Source organism: Homo sapiens, chromosome 10 (genome assembly GCF_000001405.40).
Source record: "Homo sapiens chromosome 10, GRCh38.p14 Primary Assembly".
Classification (NCBI taxonomy): Eukaryota; Metazoa; Chordata; class Mammalia; order Primates; family Hominidae; genus Homo; species Homo sapiens.
The window spans coordinates 48,603,079-48,619,678 of NC_000010.11; the positions used below are offsets into that span (position 1 = coordinate 48,603,079).

General features: G+C 44.4%; 1 protein-coding gene across 28 annotated transcripts in view, besides 5 other annotated features; it reads right to left on the minus strand.

Moving 5' to 3' along the window:
* The window catches only part of ARHGAP22 (Rho GTPase activating protein 22), a 226,435-nt gene that overhangs the window by 173,248 nt on the left and 36,587 nt on the right, over nt 1–16,600 (minus strand). For 10 of the 28 annotated variants that reach the window (NR_144644.2, NR_144646.2, NR_144645.2 and 7 more), the window contains exon 1: nt 1,685–1,995. The exons of the other annotated variants lie outside the window; for them this stretch is intronic. Coding sequence is in view for 5 of the 10 variants with exons in the window: in XM_017016476.2 (XP_016871965.1) it covers nt 1,685–1,718 (34 nt within the window). In the remaining 5 variants the exon portion in view is untranslated. Of the gene's footprint in view, nt 1–1,684; nt 1,996–16,600 lie in introns of those variants that run through there. 28 annotated transcript variants of the gene reach the window in all.
* Nucleotides 1,416–2,146: an enhancer, noted in NCBI's record as "H3K4me1 hESC enhancer chr10:49812539-49813269 (GRCh37/hg19 assembly coordinates)". NCBI's record gives its function as "activates a minimal SCP1, AML or CMV promoter by ChIP-STARR-seq in naive H9 embryonic stem cells {active_cell/tissue: H9 hESC(naive)}" and the evidence as "EXISTENCE:reporter gene assay evidence [ECO:0000049][PMID:30033119]".
* Nucleotides 1,416–2,162: a biological region, named in NCBI's record as "H3K4me1 hESC enhancer GRCh37_chr10:49812539-49813269".
* Nucleotides 2,003–2,162: a silencer, noted in NCBI's record as "silent region_2357". NCBI's record gives its function as "represses an Ori minimal core promoter by ATAC-STARR-seq in GM12878 lymphoblastoid cells {active_cell/tissue: GM12878}" and the evidence as "EXISTENCE:reporter gene assay evidence [ECO:0000049][PMID:35858748]".
* Nucleotides 5,113–5,172: an enhancer, noted in NCBI's record as "active region_3332". NCBI's record gives its function as "activates an Ori minimal core promoter by ATAC-STARR-seq in GM12878 lymphoblastoid cells {active_cell/tissue: GM12878}" and the evidence as "EXISTENCE:reporter gene assay evidence [ECO:0000049][PMID:35858748]".
* Nucleotides 11,910–12,029: an enhancer, noted in NCBI's record as "active region_3333". NCBI's record gives its function as "activates an Ori minimal core promoter by ATAC-STARR-seq in GM12878 lymphoblastoid cells {active_cell/tissue: GM12878}" and the evidence as "EXISTENCE:reporter gene assay evidence [ECO:0000049][PMID:35858748]".

Genomic DNA, 16,600 nt, shown 5'->3' on the forward strand with positions numbered 1-16,600 from the left:
GCTGTATGGCTGGCCTATACGCACTAGATGCCAGTAGCACCCCTCAGTTGGAATAACCAAAAATACTCCAAACAATGCCAAATGTTCTCTAGTGGGGCAAATTGCTCCTGGTTGAGAACCATTGACTTAAAACAAACATTTATGAGAAATCCTGGATTTCAAAGACAGGCTGCCTGTAAGCCCCTTTGCTGAAGCACTGGTCTCTTACTAGCACTGTCCAATAGAAATATAAAAAATATAATATGAGTCACATATGTACTTGTAAATGTTCTAGTAGCTATAGTAAAAGAATGTAAAACAGGTAAAATTAGTTTTAATAATAGATTTTATTTAACCCAATATATCCAAAATACTGTCATTTCAGTAAAATAATTATTAATGAGATATTGTACATTCTTTTTTTGTACTAAATCATCAAAATTTGGTGTGTCTTTTTCTCAATTTGGACTAGTGACATGCCAAGTGCTTAGTAGCCACATGTGGCCAGTGGCCAGCTCATTACACAGGAGTGGGAGGGTGGAACTAAGCTCTCGCAGAGGTATCTGGCTTGTCCTATCCCTTGGGTCATCACTAGACTTGCCCCCTCCTCAGCAGAGCCATGCAAGTTCCTCCTTTGCCCATTGGGGTACACAGGGTTCAGCCCATGCGAAAGCACCCCACAGAGGGGTCCTGACGTCTGTGGAACACACTGGAAGGCTGGTCCCATCCAGGAAAATCATCCAAGTGCTTGCAGTGTGCTAATAAGATGGGTGTGTTCCCTGTGAATCCACAGGAGGCTGGAGGCCCCCCGCTGCAAACACCTGGTGAGACACAAACTGTTTCCAAGCTCCCAGGCAAATGCTCCATCCACCTCCAAAGACCCATCCTCCACTTCATTGTTTACAAAAGGAGCTCAGCCCTCCCAGATACTGGCCACCTGAAAAGACACATTCTATTTTTGTAAAAGACAGATGTTCTCATTCAAAATGACACTTTCCGTGGCTAAGAAGTTGTTGTCCATGGAGATGCTGTCTCTAGCCCCATACAGTGGCCAAGTCTTCAGGTCACTGTGCTGGGTCGCTGGCTGGACACAGGCTGGCTAGCCCAGTCCTGGACTCTCCTGACCCCCATCTCTTGCTGGTCTGAGTCTGCTCCCGCATCCACCCGTCCTGCCCCCAGACCCTGCAGCTTTCTGAGTGTTCTGGCAGGAAAGCCTGCCTGCCCCTGGCCTGCTTGAGGAAATACTGTCTGCAAAGCAGCGGGAACGAAGACCCTCGCTTGCACCCAGCTGTCTCTAGAAGCCAGGGCATGGCCTTCCCTGGTAAGGGGTGCTTCTGTGTTGGCCACAGGGCAAATCTTGGGCATTTCCTTTTTAGTAAAGAAGCAAAGTTTCCTTAAAGTTGCCACCAGGTCACCTGGAGCGACCGAGGGCCTCTGTAAAATGTGGAATGTGGGGCGAAGTGTGCACACCCACTGGGGCACTAAGCCGGCCACCGCCCTTTTGCAACTTCAGGTCGTGTCCCCACCCAGCCCAGGAGTTTCACGAGGAAGGGCACTTCCTCAGGAGGATGCTCACTATTCAGCGGCAATGGTCCCAGAACGCCCGCCCCATGTGACACATGGCGTGACGGCTGGCCAAGTGTCCGCGCACGTTTGCCAAGAGGCACATGCGGTGCCCAGAGAAACCCCAGAAAGTTGGACTTACCCCTCCTGGCCTGCCTGATCTTTGGGCTCAGCATGTTCTTGCAGCCGTCCGGCCAGCCCCGCAGGGCCGTTCATGCTGTCATCCACTTGCTTTTGCTCGTCCTCGCGCCTAGTCGCCCCTCATGTCCTGCTCGTTCGGGGCCCCGTGGCCGCTGGCGTCACCCGTCAGGCTCCCTCGGCTACCTCTCCTGGCTCCGGACGGACGGCTCGCCTTGGACTACATAAACCTCGATGCATTATTTATCCATCCCAGAATTAATTCCCATCCAAGCGGACCATTAAAGCCTCAGTAATCACTGCTGATCAATCACTGGACCAGGGCGGGGCAGTCCCTCCGCCTGGCCTGGGCGCACGCGTGGCTGTCCAAGCTGAGCGCGGGGGCGGGGCGGGGCCGAGAGGGGCGGGGCCAGCCAGAGACGCGGGGCGCGGTCCTGGCCCGGGAGAGGGTACTGGGGTTCCGGCCATCCTTTGCTGAGGCTGGAAGAAATGCGCCTTTCAGCCGCCGCCTGGGAGCCGCACTCCCTGCCAAGCCCGGGTGGGATAGCGCTTTGGTGAGAAGGTAGCCGAGACCCCCCCCCCACCCCAGAGCCCAATCCACGGGGACCCGCTTATGAGCTCACTGTTTTACGTGTTGAAAGTCAGGTGTGTCTGGGAAGGAGCAAGCAGCCCGGCAATGTAAACTCCTCAGGAGACTCCCAACAGGAAGATGCCTGTTAGGGATACTATTTATGCCTCTTTAGTAAGGTGACAGGAATAAGAGGGCAGGAAGCACTTAACTCAGGGCTCTTCATAGGAAGATCTGAATTGAATAGTGAATCTCTGCTAATTGCCATGTTTCTGTTTGATGCTGGCATAATTTTAAAGGGTGTATACTGGGGCTTTGTGAGGAGCGGAATCCAGCCTCAAGATGCTAAAAATTACCCAAGGAATGCAATCATAACAATAGCTATCATTTATTAGGCACCTACTATGTGTCAGGCACTGAGGCTGGTGCTTTACATTCAATATCTCATTTAACTCTCAAACTCCTGAAGCAGGTGCTATATATATAGCGTTTCAAATCTGGAAAATAAGGCACAGCAAGGTTGAATCACCTGCCCAAAGTCATACAGTACCGAGCAGCAGGGCGGGCACCAGAACCCAGGGCTGTGTCTACAGCTCCTGCTGCTCTGTGATGCCAGCCTCTCCACCCTATTCCCATCACTGCATGGTAACAGCTCCTGGCTTGAGCCCCCGATGAACTTGCTGAACGGTGACCTGCCTCTGTGCCCCTGATAATCACTCCGTGTATCCTCTTAGGCATCTGAGCTTGGGTCTGGCTATTTGGGCCTGAGAACTGTGTGACCCTTTCAGTAGCTGGTAAAGAGGGATTTGAACAATGCCCTCCCCTGCTCAGATGGCCATAGCCTCCATCTGACCCTCCACACTCCCTCGAGTGCCCCATGTCCACAGATCCCCAAGTGTCCTATTGGTATGTAATCAACTTTAGCAGCTGTAGAGGGAGAGAGCCCACCAGGAGATCACTGTGGCAGTCCTCCCTAGGGAACAGTGTGCCCTATGGAGAGGGGAGGACTGCAGAGTAAGAAGAAAGACTCACCAGGATGTGGTGAGCCACATGGCCAAGCTGGTGGGAGAAGGTAGAGTCCATGGACACAAAGCTGTCTTACTCAGCATCAAGTCACTTGTTCTGGTCTTCAGCTACTCCTCAGAGGGATGAATGAGTACCTTGGCATAACATTCCAGGTTCTTTCATGGTAGCATCCATGGACTCCTCTCTGACCTATCTCTTGCCGATGCTCTATACAACCATATGCACATACAGCGCCTGCTCCTGTGTGCCCCAGTGACTTTGCACATGCCTTGCTCCTGTGTGTTCCTGTTCTTGCATGTGCAGCCCCTGCTCTCCTGTGCCTCTGTGTTTTTGCACATGTAGCTGTGTCTTTGCACGTGCAGTTCCCTCTCTCTGGAATGCCCTTCCTCACATTGCCTTGTCCTCTTTGGGCAATTCCCCAATGAAATTCTCCTGATTCCACCAGCAGAATGAGCCACTAAGCACTTCCCCTGGGCCCTTATCTATGTCCCTGTACTGCCCCTCTTGTACGCCCTCCCTGAGCCCCAGGCTGACTCAGGCCAGAAGCCTCACAGGAAACTCTGGCTTCATGGGCAGATCCAAGAAACACCACTGAATGACAGAACTGACCTCCTTTTCCTTTAAGGCCAGGTACAAGCCCTGGTTGGGACAGGGGCCACCCATGAGGAGTGGGGAGAATATCAAGCTAGAAAATCTCATGTCGACACCAGGGTCACAGGGCAAGTCCTGTGGCTTGTGACAATGTCTTGAGCAATCAGGAAGCCATTTGTGAGTAATGCAGCCTGGACCACTTCATCCAAGTCAGAGGCAAGGAAATGCCCTGAGACTTAGTCTGGGTCCACTCACGCTTGTTTTGGTTAAGAAACCACCCCCAGGCGCTTTTCCTGTGCAGCTGTTTTCCCTGATGATATTAAGTCACTGTGTTCACTCGCCTGCTTTTCTGGGGATCAGAGCTGGGCTCACACCCCAGAAGTCAGGCTGGGAAAAGGGCAGGAGTTGATCTACGTTCTGCGTCTGAGAAGGCTGGGGGAATGGGGCAGGTGGGCAAAGTAGCTCTTTTCTCCTCTCCAACCTCAGACTGTGCTCTCAGTACTTCCTGAGATGAAGGGTCCACAGAGGCAGGAATTGGAGCCCCTTCATCCTGAAGTTTACCAGCCCTGATCTGCAGGGCCCTGGGAGCCTCCCACTTCCTCTGGGGTGGCCTGTGGGAGGATGGAGTGGGGACAAGGGCAGGGCAAGGGGATCTGTTGAACATGTGACCTCCTATAAGCTTTTATTTGAAGAACCAGCCCTACTCTTCTCACTTATAAGTGGGACACCCAGACCAAGGAGTGGGAGATACAGGTCTAGCTTAGCAGCGGAGACAGATGCCTCCTTCTCCACTGCCCTGTGCCTGCCTGCACGGTGCTGCCCCTTTCCAGCAGTGGTCCTAGGTCTGCCTTCACCTGGCTTCCTGCCTTGAATCATTCAGTATTTTCTAAGGGCTGTTCAGGGACAGAAGCTGAGCACTGAATGGACAGAAGTCTCCGGAAGGCAGAAGGCATCTATTGAAATGCACACCTGTTGGTGGGATGGCTGCCAATCAGCATCAACTGGCCCAGAGCCAGGATACCTTCAAAACAGTAGTTCCTAACCTTGGCTGCACATTAGGGAGCTCTGACAGTGAATTCCTGTGTCCCACCCCCAGTGGCTCTGATTTAACTAGTCTGCAGTGTTTATTGTCATTGGGAGTTGTAAAAGCTCCTCTAGGGATTCAGCCAGGGTTGAGAACCACAGCTTTAGAAGACAACTGCACATGGGGTGTTTGCTGGCTGCCATCCTAAGGGAGATTCTTCTCAGGGAGAGGCACATCTGCGAATAAATCTCCTGGTCAGAAAGTGGAAAGGGCATCTGTCCCAAGCCCCAACTTGAGACAACTCCACCCAGAGCCACAGGTGCTGTTGGATGGTCTGTGCACTGCTCAAAGGTGTCCAGTAGAGGGAGGTAAGGAGGCTGAATTTGGGCTCCATTGGCAAAGCCCTGTGTTCCAGCACAGGGAGGTGGGGAGGTGTGCAGCTAGAGGAGGGAGCTTTCCTCTAATTTGCACAAAGGCGACATATAGATAGCAAAGCCCTGCTTCCCCTGTTCCAGAAGCTGCATGGAGGACCAGAGTAAGCCCTTCTGGAGGCAGAGGAGAGAAACAATGCTACTCTGGCTTTGTGATGCCTGCCCAGGGGTCACCAGCACCTGGGTCCCCAGCCTGCCTGCTTAGTGCACTCTCTGTTCCTGCTGCCAGGAGGTCGATGCCGCAGCTCCCTTGCATGTCACTCAAGGTCTTCATGGGCAGCTCCCACCCTCATACTTTGGTTTCTCCTTCTGTCTATCCCAGTAGTGGGCCGGACCAGCTGGAGAGTACCAATGACATAACTGATTGTTAAATTTTCAGGAGTTTTGTAAGCCAGTTGTTTAGCAAGAACATCATTAGAAATTAATGTATATAAACTTATAATTAAATAAACTATTTAAGACAAAGGTAACAAGCACTAAAAACTCATAATTTCCAAATCATTTTACTACATTTTATTATTCTTCAGGTAATTGACATCTATTGTTTCTACATGGTGGATAATATATACTGGGTTGCTGCCATGCATCTCTTCTCAACTCTAATGTTCAATGACATCATGCTGGTAGTTTGAAATTGAATGTTGTGGGAGTATTTACACCAAGAAAACTAGCAAATGCAGTAAATCAGAGCTTAGATGTCTTGTTTTGTTTTGTTTTTCTTCTACAGAGCTGGTTGTTAAGCATTTGTCAGCACACCTCTGGCCCATTTCCACCACATTCACTCTGTCTGCCCCAGTCACTGTAGACTCCCTGTTCTAGGCAGAGGATGCCAGCTCTCCACCTGAATCTGTTCTCCCCTTCTTCCTGGGAACACACAGATGTTCTACATTTCCAGCATCCTTGCAGTTAGGTGTGACTGCATCCTGGCCATTATACATGAGCAGAAGTGATGTGGTTACTTCTAGGCCTGGCTTCCAGGATTCCTTCTCTTGCTACCCTTCTAAGCTCATTTCCCTTTTCTGGTTGATTGGGATGGGACCACTTTGGAATTCCCATGTAGAATATGGTAGAATCCCTGCAGTCTGGGGCTCTGAATGACTGCATGGAGCCAAGCCCTCACTGTCAACCTGGAAGTATCTTGAGAGAAAGAGAAATTAACTTATACTGTATTGAGTCATTTCATAGTTGGTCCTCTTCATTACTATAGCCGACATTCTCACTGGGTACACACTCCACTCTGCCTGCCCTTTTTTGCCTCTTGAACTTTGATGCATCCCTCTGGACCTTGTTCCAGCACCACCTCCTCACTCAGTGCTGTATGGAGTTCGGCACCTTTAACATTTCCCATTTCTTCCATGCCCAAGGCCACGGGGACCTTCTACAAGGCCTGTTGCGAGATCTTTAGAGGAGTACGAGTTTTTCCTGCCCCCTCACCCATAATTTAAATATCATCTATATACGAAACCTATCATATGCTGAATTAAAAAAATTCTTCCTAGATTTTTAAATTGGGAAACTGTGGGATTCATCAAAGGTGAACTTTTGCTCCACTTTGGTGGCCTTGCCCTGCTTGTACTGTAAGCCTGTCCTTGGTCTTCCTGCCATTGGGCACTTGGGCACTGCAGGCTGCTCTGTCATAGAGGGAATGGCCTTTCTCTCCACCCACTGTTCCTGGCTTCAGCTCTGCTGCCTTGGGCCTAAAGTCTGTCTCCGCCCTTTGGCTCCACCATCTCTGTCCCCTTGCCTTGGCTTTTCATTTCAGTTTTGCCCACACCCTGCAGTCCATGGCATACCCTCCCTTTGACAGCTCAGGACCCCAGAAGGGGTCTAAAGCCTGGACTTCTACCTATCTGGGGTCTTTGTTGTCTTGGGATCCTGAACAGAAGGACAAAGACGCAGAATTAGGCACTAGGAAACCACCCAGACATACCGAGCAAGAGAGTTCAGACCGGAGCACAGAGGCTTTGCTTGGAAAGCCCCTGGATTGCAACCTGTATCCTTGGGCATGATTTCTAGAGTCATTCAGCCCTGGTCTGTGGGAAAGGTGACTTAGGGGCACTGCATTGGCTCAGGCACCATAACCATAACCTTTTGTTCCAACCACTGTTGTAGCACTTGTCACACATCACCTTTAACTTTGCAACAGTTAAGTCAGAGGATGCCTAGTGTGGGCTGAATAGATGAATGAGTGGTGCCTCAGCTGGGTTCCAGTGGCAGATGCTGAGGTAAGAGTTTTTTTAGGGATTAACATTTTGCTCAGGAAAGGAGGGAAGCAGGGATGGGGAGGAAGGTATCAGAGCACACTGCATACCTGACAGTATTGCTGCCAGCCCAACTGGCGCTCCGAGCAGATGACCCGCTGGAGGGGTCTGGGTTTGGGCAGAGGTGGCCAGGACTTGTGCAGTCATTGGCTTGGAGCCACCCAAGAAGGGAGTGAAGTTGGCTGTAAAGCTAAGAGTCACCCTAAAAGAGCTAACAGCTAGCAGCTGTCAGCTGACTTCACTCCTGCAGTTGGGCAGTGAGTCCTTTTCAGAAGCAGGCTCAGAGCGGCTTAGTTCCATGCCTACCACACTTGGGCTTTAGAGCTTGCAGACTCAATTTTAAGCCTCTGTAAATGTTGGATTCATGGAAATACTACTCACCTAGGACTCTTTGATCCACTTGGACAACTATCTGGGCTGCTCATTGAATTGAGCAGCTTTCAGGTAAAGAATTTATTCAGCTGTAAAGTCTGTGGGTTTCTCACAAGGGGAAGCTTGTATTAGAGTGAGTGTGGGACTGATAGTAGCACAGGCTCTGCCTGTGAGTGCTGGGTTCTCACAGGGTACCTTGGAAAGCAGCTTCGGAGGGACCCTAGCTTACCAGGTGTGACACCCTGGGCTAGGCAGGGTCCCTGCTTACAGGAGTTAGAGGCTGAGACGAAAGAGTGAAACATGTCCTTGCTATATGGCAGTCCTGTTTCTGGGTCCTGGGAACATGATGCACTGAGATTCCCAAAAGCTGCCCCCCTTCCTAGAAAAGAAGGGGGGAGGTCGCTGCATCAGCTGCCCAGGCTCCAAAGGCAACCCCTGCCCTTCCCCAACCGTACCAACAAGGAAGCAGGTCTGAAATGATTCCCTTCCCTGAAACTTAGGTAAAGAGTCAGATTTTAGGTAAAGAGTCAGATTTTAGAAAATGATAAATCACCATTTTGATCAGCTTTGCACTATTGAAAATCAAGCCTTCTACCTTGAGAAAATAGCTGCTTGTTGAACAGATAGAAAGAGTGGAAATTTCCCAGGTGCCTTCTCTCATTGCTCACACCTCTCACCACAGTCAAATTCTTCCCTGCCCCACTGTTCTGAGCAGATGCCACACCCTCGATCCCTCCTGTAACTTCCTCCTGCTCCTTTCCCTTCCCTTCCCTTCTCTTCCCTTCCCTTCCCTTCCCTTCCCTTCCCTTCCCTTCCCTTCCCTTCCCCTCCCCTCCCCTCCCCTCCCCTCCCCTCCCGTCCCCTTCACTTTCCTTCTGCCTCCTGGGTCCATGCAATTGTTCTGCCTCAGCCTCCTGAGTAGCTGGGACTACAGGTGCGTGCCACCACACCCGGCTACTTTTTGTATTTTTAGTAGAGACGGGGTTTCACTATGTTGGCCAGGCTGGTCTTGAACTCCTGACCTCATGATCCGCCTGCCTTGGCCTCCCAAAGTGCTAGGATTACAGGCGTGAGCCACCACACCCAGCCAACTTCCTCCTGCTTTTCTATCCATTTCCCCTCCTTTTGCATCTTTAATCCCTCCCTCATTGGTGCTTTTTTCCAAGTTGACAAACTCCCTCAAGTCTTTCCTGCTCTCAAGATTATGCCTCCTCTTCACCTCATCTGTTATAGTGGAATGGAATTTGTTTTTTGGCTGTACCATGTCTAGCCCCTCCCTGTTTTGGAGGTATTCCCCATCTCCCTCTTCGGAAGCTACAAGAATGGATCTGCTCTATATCTGGCAGGCAGTTGGATGTGGTCATGTGGCTGAGGCTCAGCTGAGCAGATGACCCTGCCTGGGTTTTGAATCTCATCTTGAGTGTGACCCAGAGATGGACAGAGTCGACTTCTCAGCACTGGTGGCAGTGATGACACCTGCTGTGATGATGAGGCTTTTCCACAGGTGGCACTCTGCAGGGGTGTCCTCCCCAGGCTCTTCCTGCAAGAAGACTATACTTGTGCTTCCTGCTTTTAGGCTCTCTGTAGCCACTATCATTCTGTCCATTTTCTAACCTGGTCCTCCAGCTTACAAAGGATTTTTCCAATAAATTCTCTTTTCTGGCTTTAGCTGATTTGGATTTCCTTTCTGTGACTCACAACCCACAGAATTCTAACTGATGCCCACATTATGCCTCTCTGCCATGTTCCCCATTCCTGTTCTCCTCTCTCACTTCCTAATCCTTTTAAATTGGCACAGATGGTGCAGTCCCCCACTTTTCCATTCTCTCACTGATGGCATTTCCTTCCCTATCTCCCCAGTTATACTGTCAGCCTCATCACTGTATGTCTCAGGCTGGAAACCACAGGTCGTCCTTCAAAACCCTGGACTTTTGGTTAGGACCGATAGTAATCTCAGCTCACCAGAAGGTGCTGCTGGATGATGCCCTCCTACCTCTGACCAACACTTCTTTTCTCCCAACCTTTTTTTTGTCCTCATCTGTTTCAAAATCCAGCTCCCATCTCAGTGTACACCTTTGGCCTTTGTGAGAGTCTCGTGCACATGTGCTGCCTTGCTTTAGTGAGGCCTCAGTGACTCTTCTTTTAAGGCTCTCTTGTGTGTCACATGCTTCTTAATGGAGCAGTTTATACTCATCATCATGATATGGCCTCAGTAACCACTACCACTGTCATGTGACAGAAACTGTTTTCTTGGAGGTCACTGATGAGCATCTAGTTTCCAAATACCCTCAGTACTCATCTATCCCAGTTAAAAAAAGACAAGGGCTTTATAGTTTAGTAGGAAGATGGTACGTTTGAAGAACCCTTGGTTTGAATTTCTTAAACCAAGCATTCACTGTATCAGTTGATCTTCTTAATTTCTGGACCATTATTGGAACCAGATAGAAGGAAACTTAAGCCAAACCCAAGTTTCCAGTAGTTCTTAGACCTAGGCCAGACTTCATGGTGCCATGCCCTTGTGGTATATGACAGAAGTACATCTAAGTGGAGAAGTTTAGAAGAGAATTGGATGTAAGACTATATTGTTTAGAGGAGAGTTTTGGCTAGGAATATAACTTTTATAGACCACTGAGAAGAATGTAAAAAAAAAAAAGAATAGAAAAATAGAGAGGCCAGGACCAAACTATGAGAACCTCCAACATCTAAGGATTGTTAGAAGGAGGACGAAAGTTTACTTAAGGAAGTGCTATGGTTTGAGTGTCTCCTCCAAAACTCATGCTGAAATTTAATTGCCATTTTGATGGTATTAAGATGTGAGTCTTTAAAGAGGTGATCAGGCCCTAAGGACATTGCCCTCATGAACGAATTAATGTCATTATTGTGAGATTGGATTGTTATAAAAGCAGGGTTGATGTTCTCTTGAATGCTCTCTCTTGCCCTAACTTGCCCTTCTGTCTTCGCCTGGGGCTGACATAGCATGAAGGCCCTCACCAGATGCTGGTGCCATGCTCTTGGGCTTCCCATCCTCCAGAACTATAAGCCAAATACATTTATGTTCACTATAAATTACTCAGTCTGTGGTATTCTGTTATAGCAGCATAAAATGGACTAAAATAGGGAGCTAATCAAATATGGGCAGAGAGATGGGAGAAAACCCTGGGGAATATGGTATCATAAAAGCCAAAACAGGTTTAGTGTTTTCACAAGGTAGTGTCTCACTCTGTCAAATGCTGATGAGAGAGTTAGACAGTTGAGAAGAGGACAGTATTTACCAGATTTGGCAAAGGAGAGTTGTTTATAACCTTAACAAGAATAGATTCATTGTAGGAGTGGAGTAGGGTGCCAAACTGAAGTGGATTGAAAATGACTGGTGAATTCCAGTTCCAGGAACATTATGGATTACATGCTACCCAAATCCCCTTATGAAAAAAGCCCCATACTCAGCATGCTAAATATAATACAGAACACTCATTTTTAAAATAAATAGCTGAGGAAAATGGTGTCAGTTAAAATGGCAGAGTAAGACATTTCAAAATTCTGTCTCCTGTAGCAGCAGCAGCAACAACAACAAAAAAGTGACAAATCAGTGTTTTGGAATCTAGAAACTAACCAACAGCTTGCATCAGCCAGGGGAATGCTTAATCAGGAAAACCCAGCTGAGTCTCAGTAAGAACAGCAAGGTTTGTTGCAATTTAACTTACCCTAGTCCCATTCCAGCTCTCCAATAAGCAAGAGTCTTGCAAATGACAGCCCTGGTGACAGTATCATTACTGTAGGAAGCACAATGGACTTCATCTGCAAATAGCTAAAATTATTTGTTTTGACCTATTTGGTAGTTACCCAAAAGCTGGTTCAAAGGCTTGCCTTCATCTCACCTAACACAGAACTCTTCCAATGCTAAAGCAGATATCTGTGGAATTTTGTCAAAAACATTTAGAGGAAAATGTTTTACTCACTGCTGCCTCAGGTGGTGGATAATAGTTGGAGCAAAAAATAGACTAACCTAAAGCTCTGGAGAAAAGGCTGGTAAACAAGATGCTTTGAAGAGTAAGGACTTTGAAAAGCTGTAACATACAAATACACATGCCAAGGTTGTGTGAATGATCAGGAAAGACCCAAAAAGACCTGAAACTCTAACCTAAGGCCAACCTCTAGACTCTGCTCAAGCAGAAAGTGAAAGCTAAAACACGGTTGTAAATTTCTGGGCTGAGTCTTGAAGGCATGCTTCAACACACCCACACAGCAAAAATATGGGAGCACCCCTTGCCCCCAGGTATTTAAAGAAATCTCTGTCAAATCGCTAACTGACCATTAAGCTAATGGAACAAAGACTTCAATGACCACAGATGATAAAGAATACATAACTCACAAAAATTATTTCAGAAAAGTTATTAAACAAATAAATGATGGAAACTATGACAAGCAGCAACAACAGATCCTGGAAAGAAGAGAAAATCTTATTTCCAGAATTGCCATATTATACAATTCAAAGTGTCCAGTTTTCAACAAAAAATTATGAAGCATGCAAAGAAACAAAAAATATTGTCCAGAAACAAAGCTACACAAAGTATGGCTTATTTTTTTGATGGGAAAAATCAATCAGTAGAACTGTCCATAATGGAGCTCAGATATTGGACTTACTAGACAAAGACTTTAAATCAGCTATTTAAAATATATTTAAAGGTTTAAGGAAACCATGTACAAAGATCTAAAGGTAATTGGGAGAATGATGTATCATCAAGTACTGAACTTCGATACAGAGAAATTATATAAAAAGACCAAATAGAAATTTAAGAGTTGGGAAAGTACAATAACTGAAATAAAAAATTCACTAGAGAGACTCAAGAGCAGATCTGAGCTAGCAGAAGAAAAAATTAGTAAATGTGAAGAAGGTCAAATGAAATTATTCAGTCTGAGGAACAGAAAAAAAAAAAAAAGAATGAAGAAGATGAGCAAAGCCTAAGATGCCTGTGGGATATTGTCAAGTACAAGAACACCCTGTTGTATTGAGCTCTGCTTTATTGTGCTTCACTTTATTCCACTTGGCAGATATTGCATTTTTTATAAGTTAAAAATCTGTGGCAATGCTGTGTCAAGTGAGTCTATCAGTGCCTATTTTCCAGTAGTATGTGCTCATTTAGCGTCTTGGTGTCAACATTTTTTGGCAATAAAGTCTTTTTAAATTAAATTATATACATTTTATGCTTAACGGACTACAATATAGTGAAAAGATAACTTCCATTTGCACCGGGAAACCAAACATATATGTGGCTTTCTTTTTGTGACATTCACTTTATTGTGATGGTCTGGAATTGAACCTGCAATGTCTCCTAGATATGCCTACATATGCATAGAGGAAGTCCAAGAAAGAAAAGAGGAAAAGGAGAAGAAGAATATTTCAAGGAATAATGGCCACTTTCCAAATTTGATGAAAGACATGACTGTATATATCACAACCTCAATGAATCCCACATAGAATAAATTCAGAGATCTGTACTAAGTCACATTATAATCAAATTGTCAAAAGCCAGCGTCAGGGAGAGAATCCCAAAAGCAGATAAATGACTTGTCATACACAAAAGATCCTCAGTAAGATTAGCAGCTAATTTCTTATCAGAAACTAGGGAGGCCAGAGGCAGTGGAGTGATGTATTCAAAATGCTGAAACAAAAACCTGTCAACTGAATTCAACATCTGGCAAAACTATCCTTTAAATGTAAAACAGCAATCAAGTCATTTCTAGATAAACAAAAATTGAGACAGTTAATTGCTAGCAGACCTAACCTACAAGATCTATTAAAGTGAGTCCTTCAGGCTAAATGAAAAGACACTAGACAGTAACTGAAATTCACATGAAGAAATTAAAAATAGTACTTAAGATGACCATATAGGCAAATACGTAATTATTAATTTTTTTGCAACTTCACTTTTCTCATGTTATTTAAAAGACAACTATGTAAGACAACAATTATAAATCTGCATTAATAGGCCCACAATGTATACAGATGTAACTGGTAGTAATAACATAAATTTGGCAGGGGGGAACAGAGATATATAGAAAAAAAGTTTTGTAATACTATTGATATTAAGTTGGTATTAGTCCAAACTAGAGTGTCCTAAATTAAAATATGATCCCCTATGCACTCAACACTGGACCACTCAGATATACAAAGCAAATATTATTAAAGCTAAAGAGAGAGATAGACCCCAAATACAATGATAATTGTGAACTTCAATACTTCAGTCTCAGTGTTAGACAGATTATTTAGACAGAAAATTAACAAAGAGACATTGAACTTAAACTGCACTTTAGAACAAATGGACCTAACAAACATTTACGGTACACTTCATCCTAAAGCTCCAGAATATACATTCTTTTCATCAGCACGTGGAATATTGTCCAGGATACACCACATTTTAGGACATAAAACAAGTCTCAACAATGTGAAATAATTGAAATTATTTCAAGTATCTTTTCTGATCACATCAGAATAAAGCTAGAAATCAATTATAAGAGGAGCTTTCAAAATCATACAAACACATGAAAATTAAACACCATGCTCTTGACCAACCAATGGATTGATAAAGACATTTAAAAAACTTTCTTGTAACAAATGAAAACAGAAGTACAACATATAAAAATCTTTGTGACACAGCAAAAACAATATTGAGAGAAAAGTTTATAGCAAAAAATGCTACATCAAAAAAGTAGAAAGATTTCAAATAAACCTAGTAATGCCTCTCAAGAATCTAGAAAAGCAAGAACAAACCAAACCCCAAATTAGTAGAAGAAAATAAATAATAAATATCAGAGCAGAAATAAGTGCAACTGAGGCAAAAATACAAAATATCAACAAAATGAAAAGTTGGTTTTTTGAAAAAATAAACAAAATGGACAAACCATTAGCTAGACCAAGTATGAGAAAAAGAAATAAGACTCAAATAAATACAATCAGAAACAAAAGAGGAGACATTACAACTGAAACCACCTAAATACAAATGATCATTAGAGATTAATGTGTACAACTATATACCAACAAATGAAAATAAATAAATTATTTTCAAACCTAATGGAAATAAGTAAATTTCTGGACATATACAACCTACCAAGATTTAACTGAGAAGAAATGGAAAATGTGAACAGACCAATTATGAGTAATGAAATTGAATCTGTAATTAAATGTCTCCCATCAAAGAAAAGCCCAGGACCTAATGCAGAATTCTACCAAACATTTAAAGAAGAAATAGTACAATTTTTTTCTTAAACTATTCCAGAAAATACAAGAGGAGGGAATTCTCCCAAATTCATTCCATGAGCCTAGCTATACCCTGATGCCCAAACCAGATAAGGACACAATAACAACAACAAAACTACAGGTCACTATCTCTGATGAAAATAGATACAAAAATTCTCAACAAAATACTAGCAAACCGAATCCAGCAGCATGTTAAAAAGATCATTCACCATGATCAAGTGGGATTTATCTCAGGGATGCAAGTGTGGTTCAACATATGCAAATCAATAAATTTGATACATTAGATCAACATAATGAGGCACAAAATCCATGTGATCATCTCAATAGATGTATAAAAAACATTAGATAAAATTCAACATCCCTTCATGATAAAAAATTCTCAACAAGTTAGGTACAAAAGGAATGTACCTCAACACAATGAAGGCCATATATGACAAACCACAGCCTACATCATATTGAATAGGGAAAAGTTGAAAGCTTTTCCTCTAGGATCTGGAACAAGACAAGGATGCCCACTCTCGCCACTGTTATTTAACATAGTACTGGAAGACCTAGCCTGAGCAATTAGGAATAAATTGAGAAAGATGTAAAGAACATCCAGGTTGCAAAGGAGAAAGTCAAATTGTTCCTCTTTGCAAATGACATGATCTTATATCTAGAAGACCCTAAAAGCCCCACCAAAAACTCTTAGAACTAATAAACAAATTCAGTAAATTTGTAAGATACAAAATCAGCATACAAAAGCCTATAGCATTTGTATACACCAAAAACGAACTAGTGGAAAAAGATATGAAGAAAGCAATCCTGTTTACAACAACTACAAAAAAATACCCAGGAATAAGTTTAACCAAGGTGGTGAAAGATCTCTACAAGGAAAACTATGAAACACTAATGAAATAAATTGAAAAGAACACACAAAAATAGAAAGGCATCACATAGTCATGAACTGAAATAATTAATATTGTGAAAATGACAATCTTACCAAAAACTCTCTGCAGATTCAGTGAAATCTCTGTAAAATACCAATGACATTCTTCATAGAAATGGAAAAAATGAGCCCAAAATTGTATGGAATTACAAAAGACCCCAAGTAGTCAAAGGAATACTGAGCATGAAGAATAAAGCTGGAGGCATCACACTACTGAACTTAAAAATAAACTCAAAGTGTTGGAAACCAAAGAGCATGATACTGGCATAAAAACAAACACATAGACCAATGGCAGAGAATAGAGAGCACAGAAATAAATCCACAGATTTACAGCCAACTGATTTTTGACAAAGGCACAAGAGCATACATTGGGGGAAGGACACTGTCTTCAATAAATGATGTTGGGGGACACTGGATATCTATGTGATCTATGTGCAGATAAATGAAACTAGACTTCTCTCATA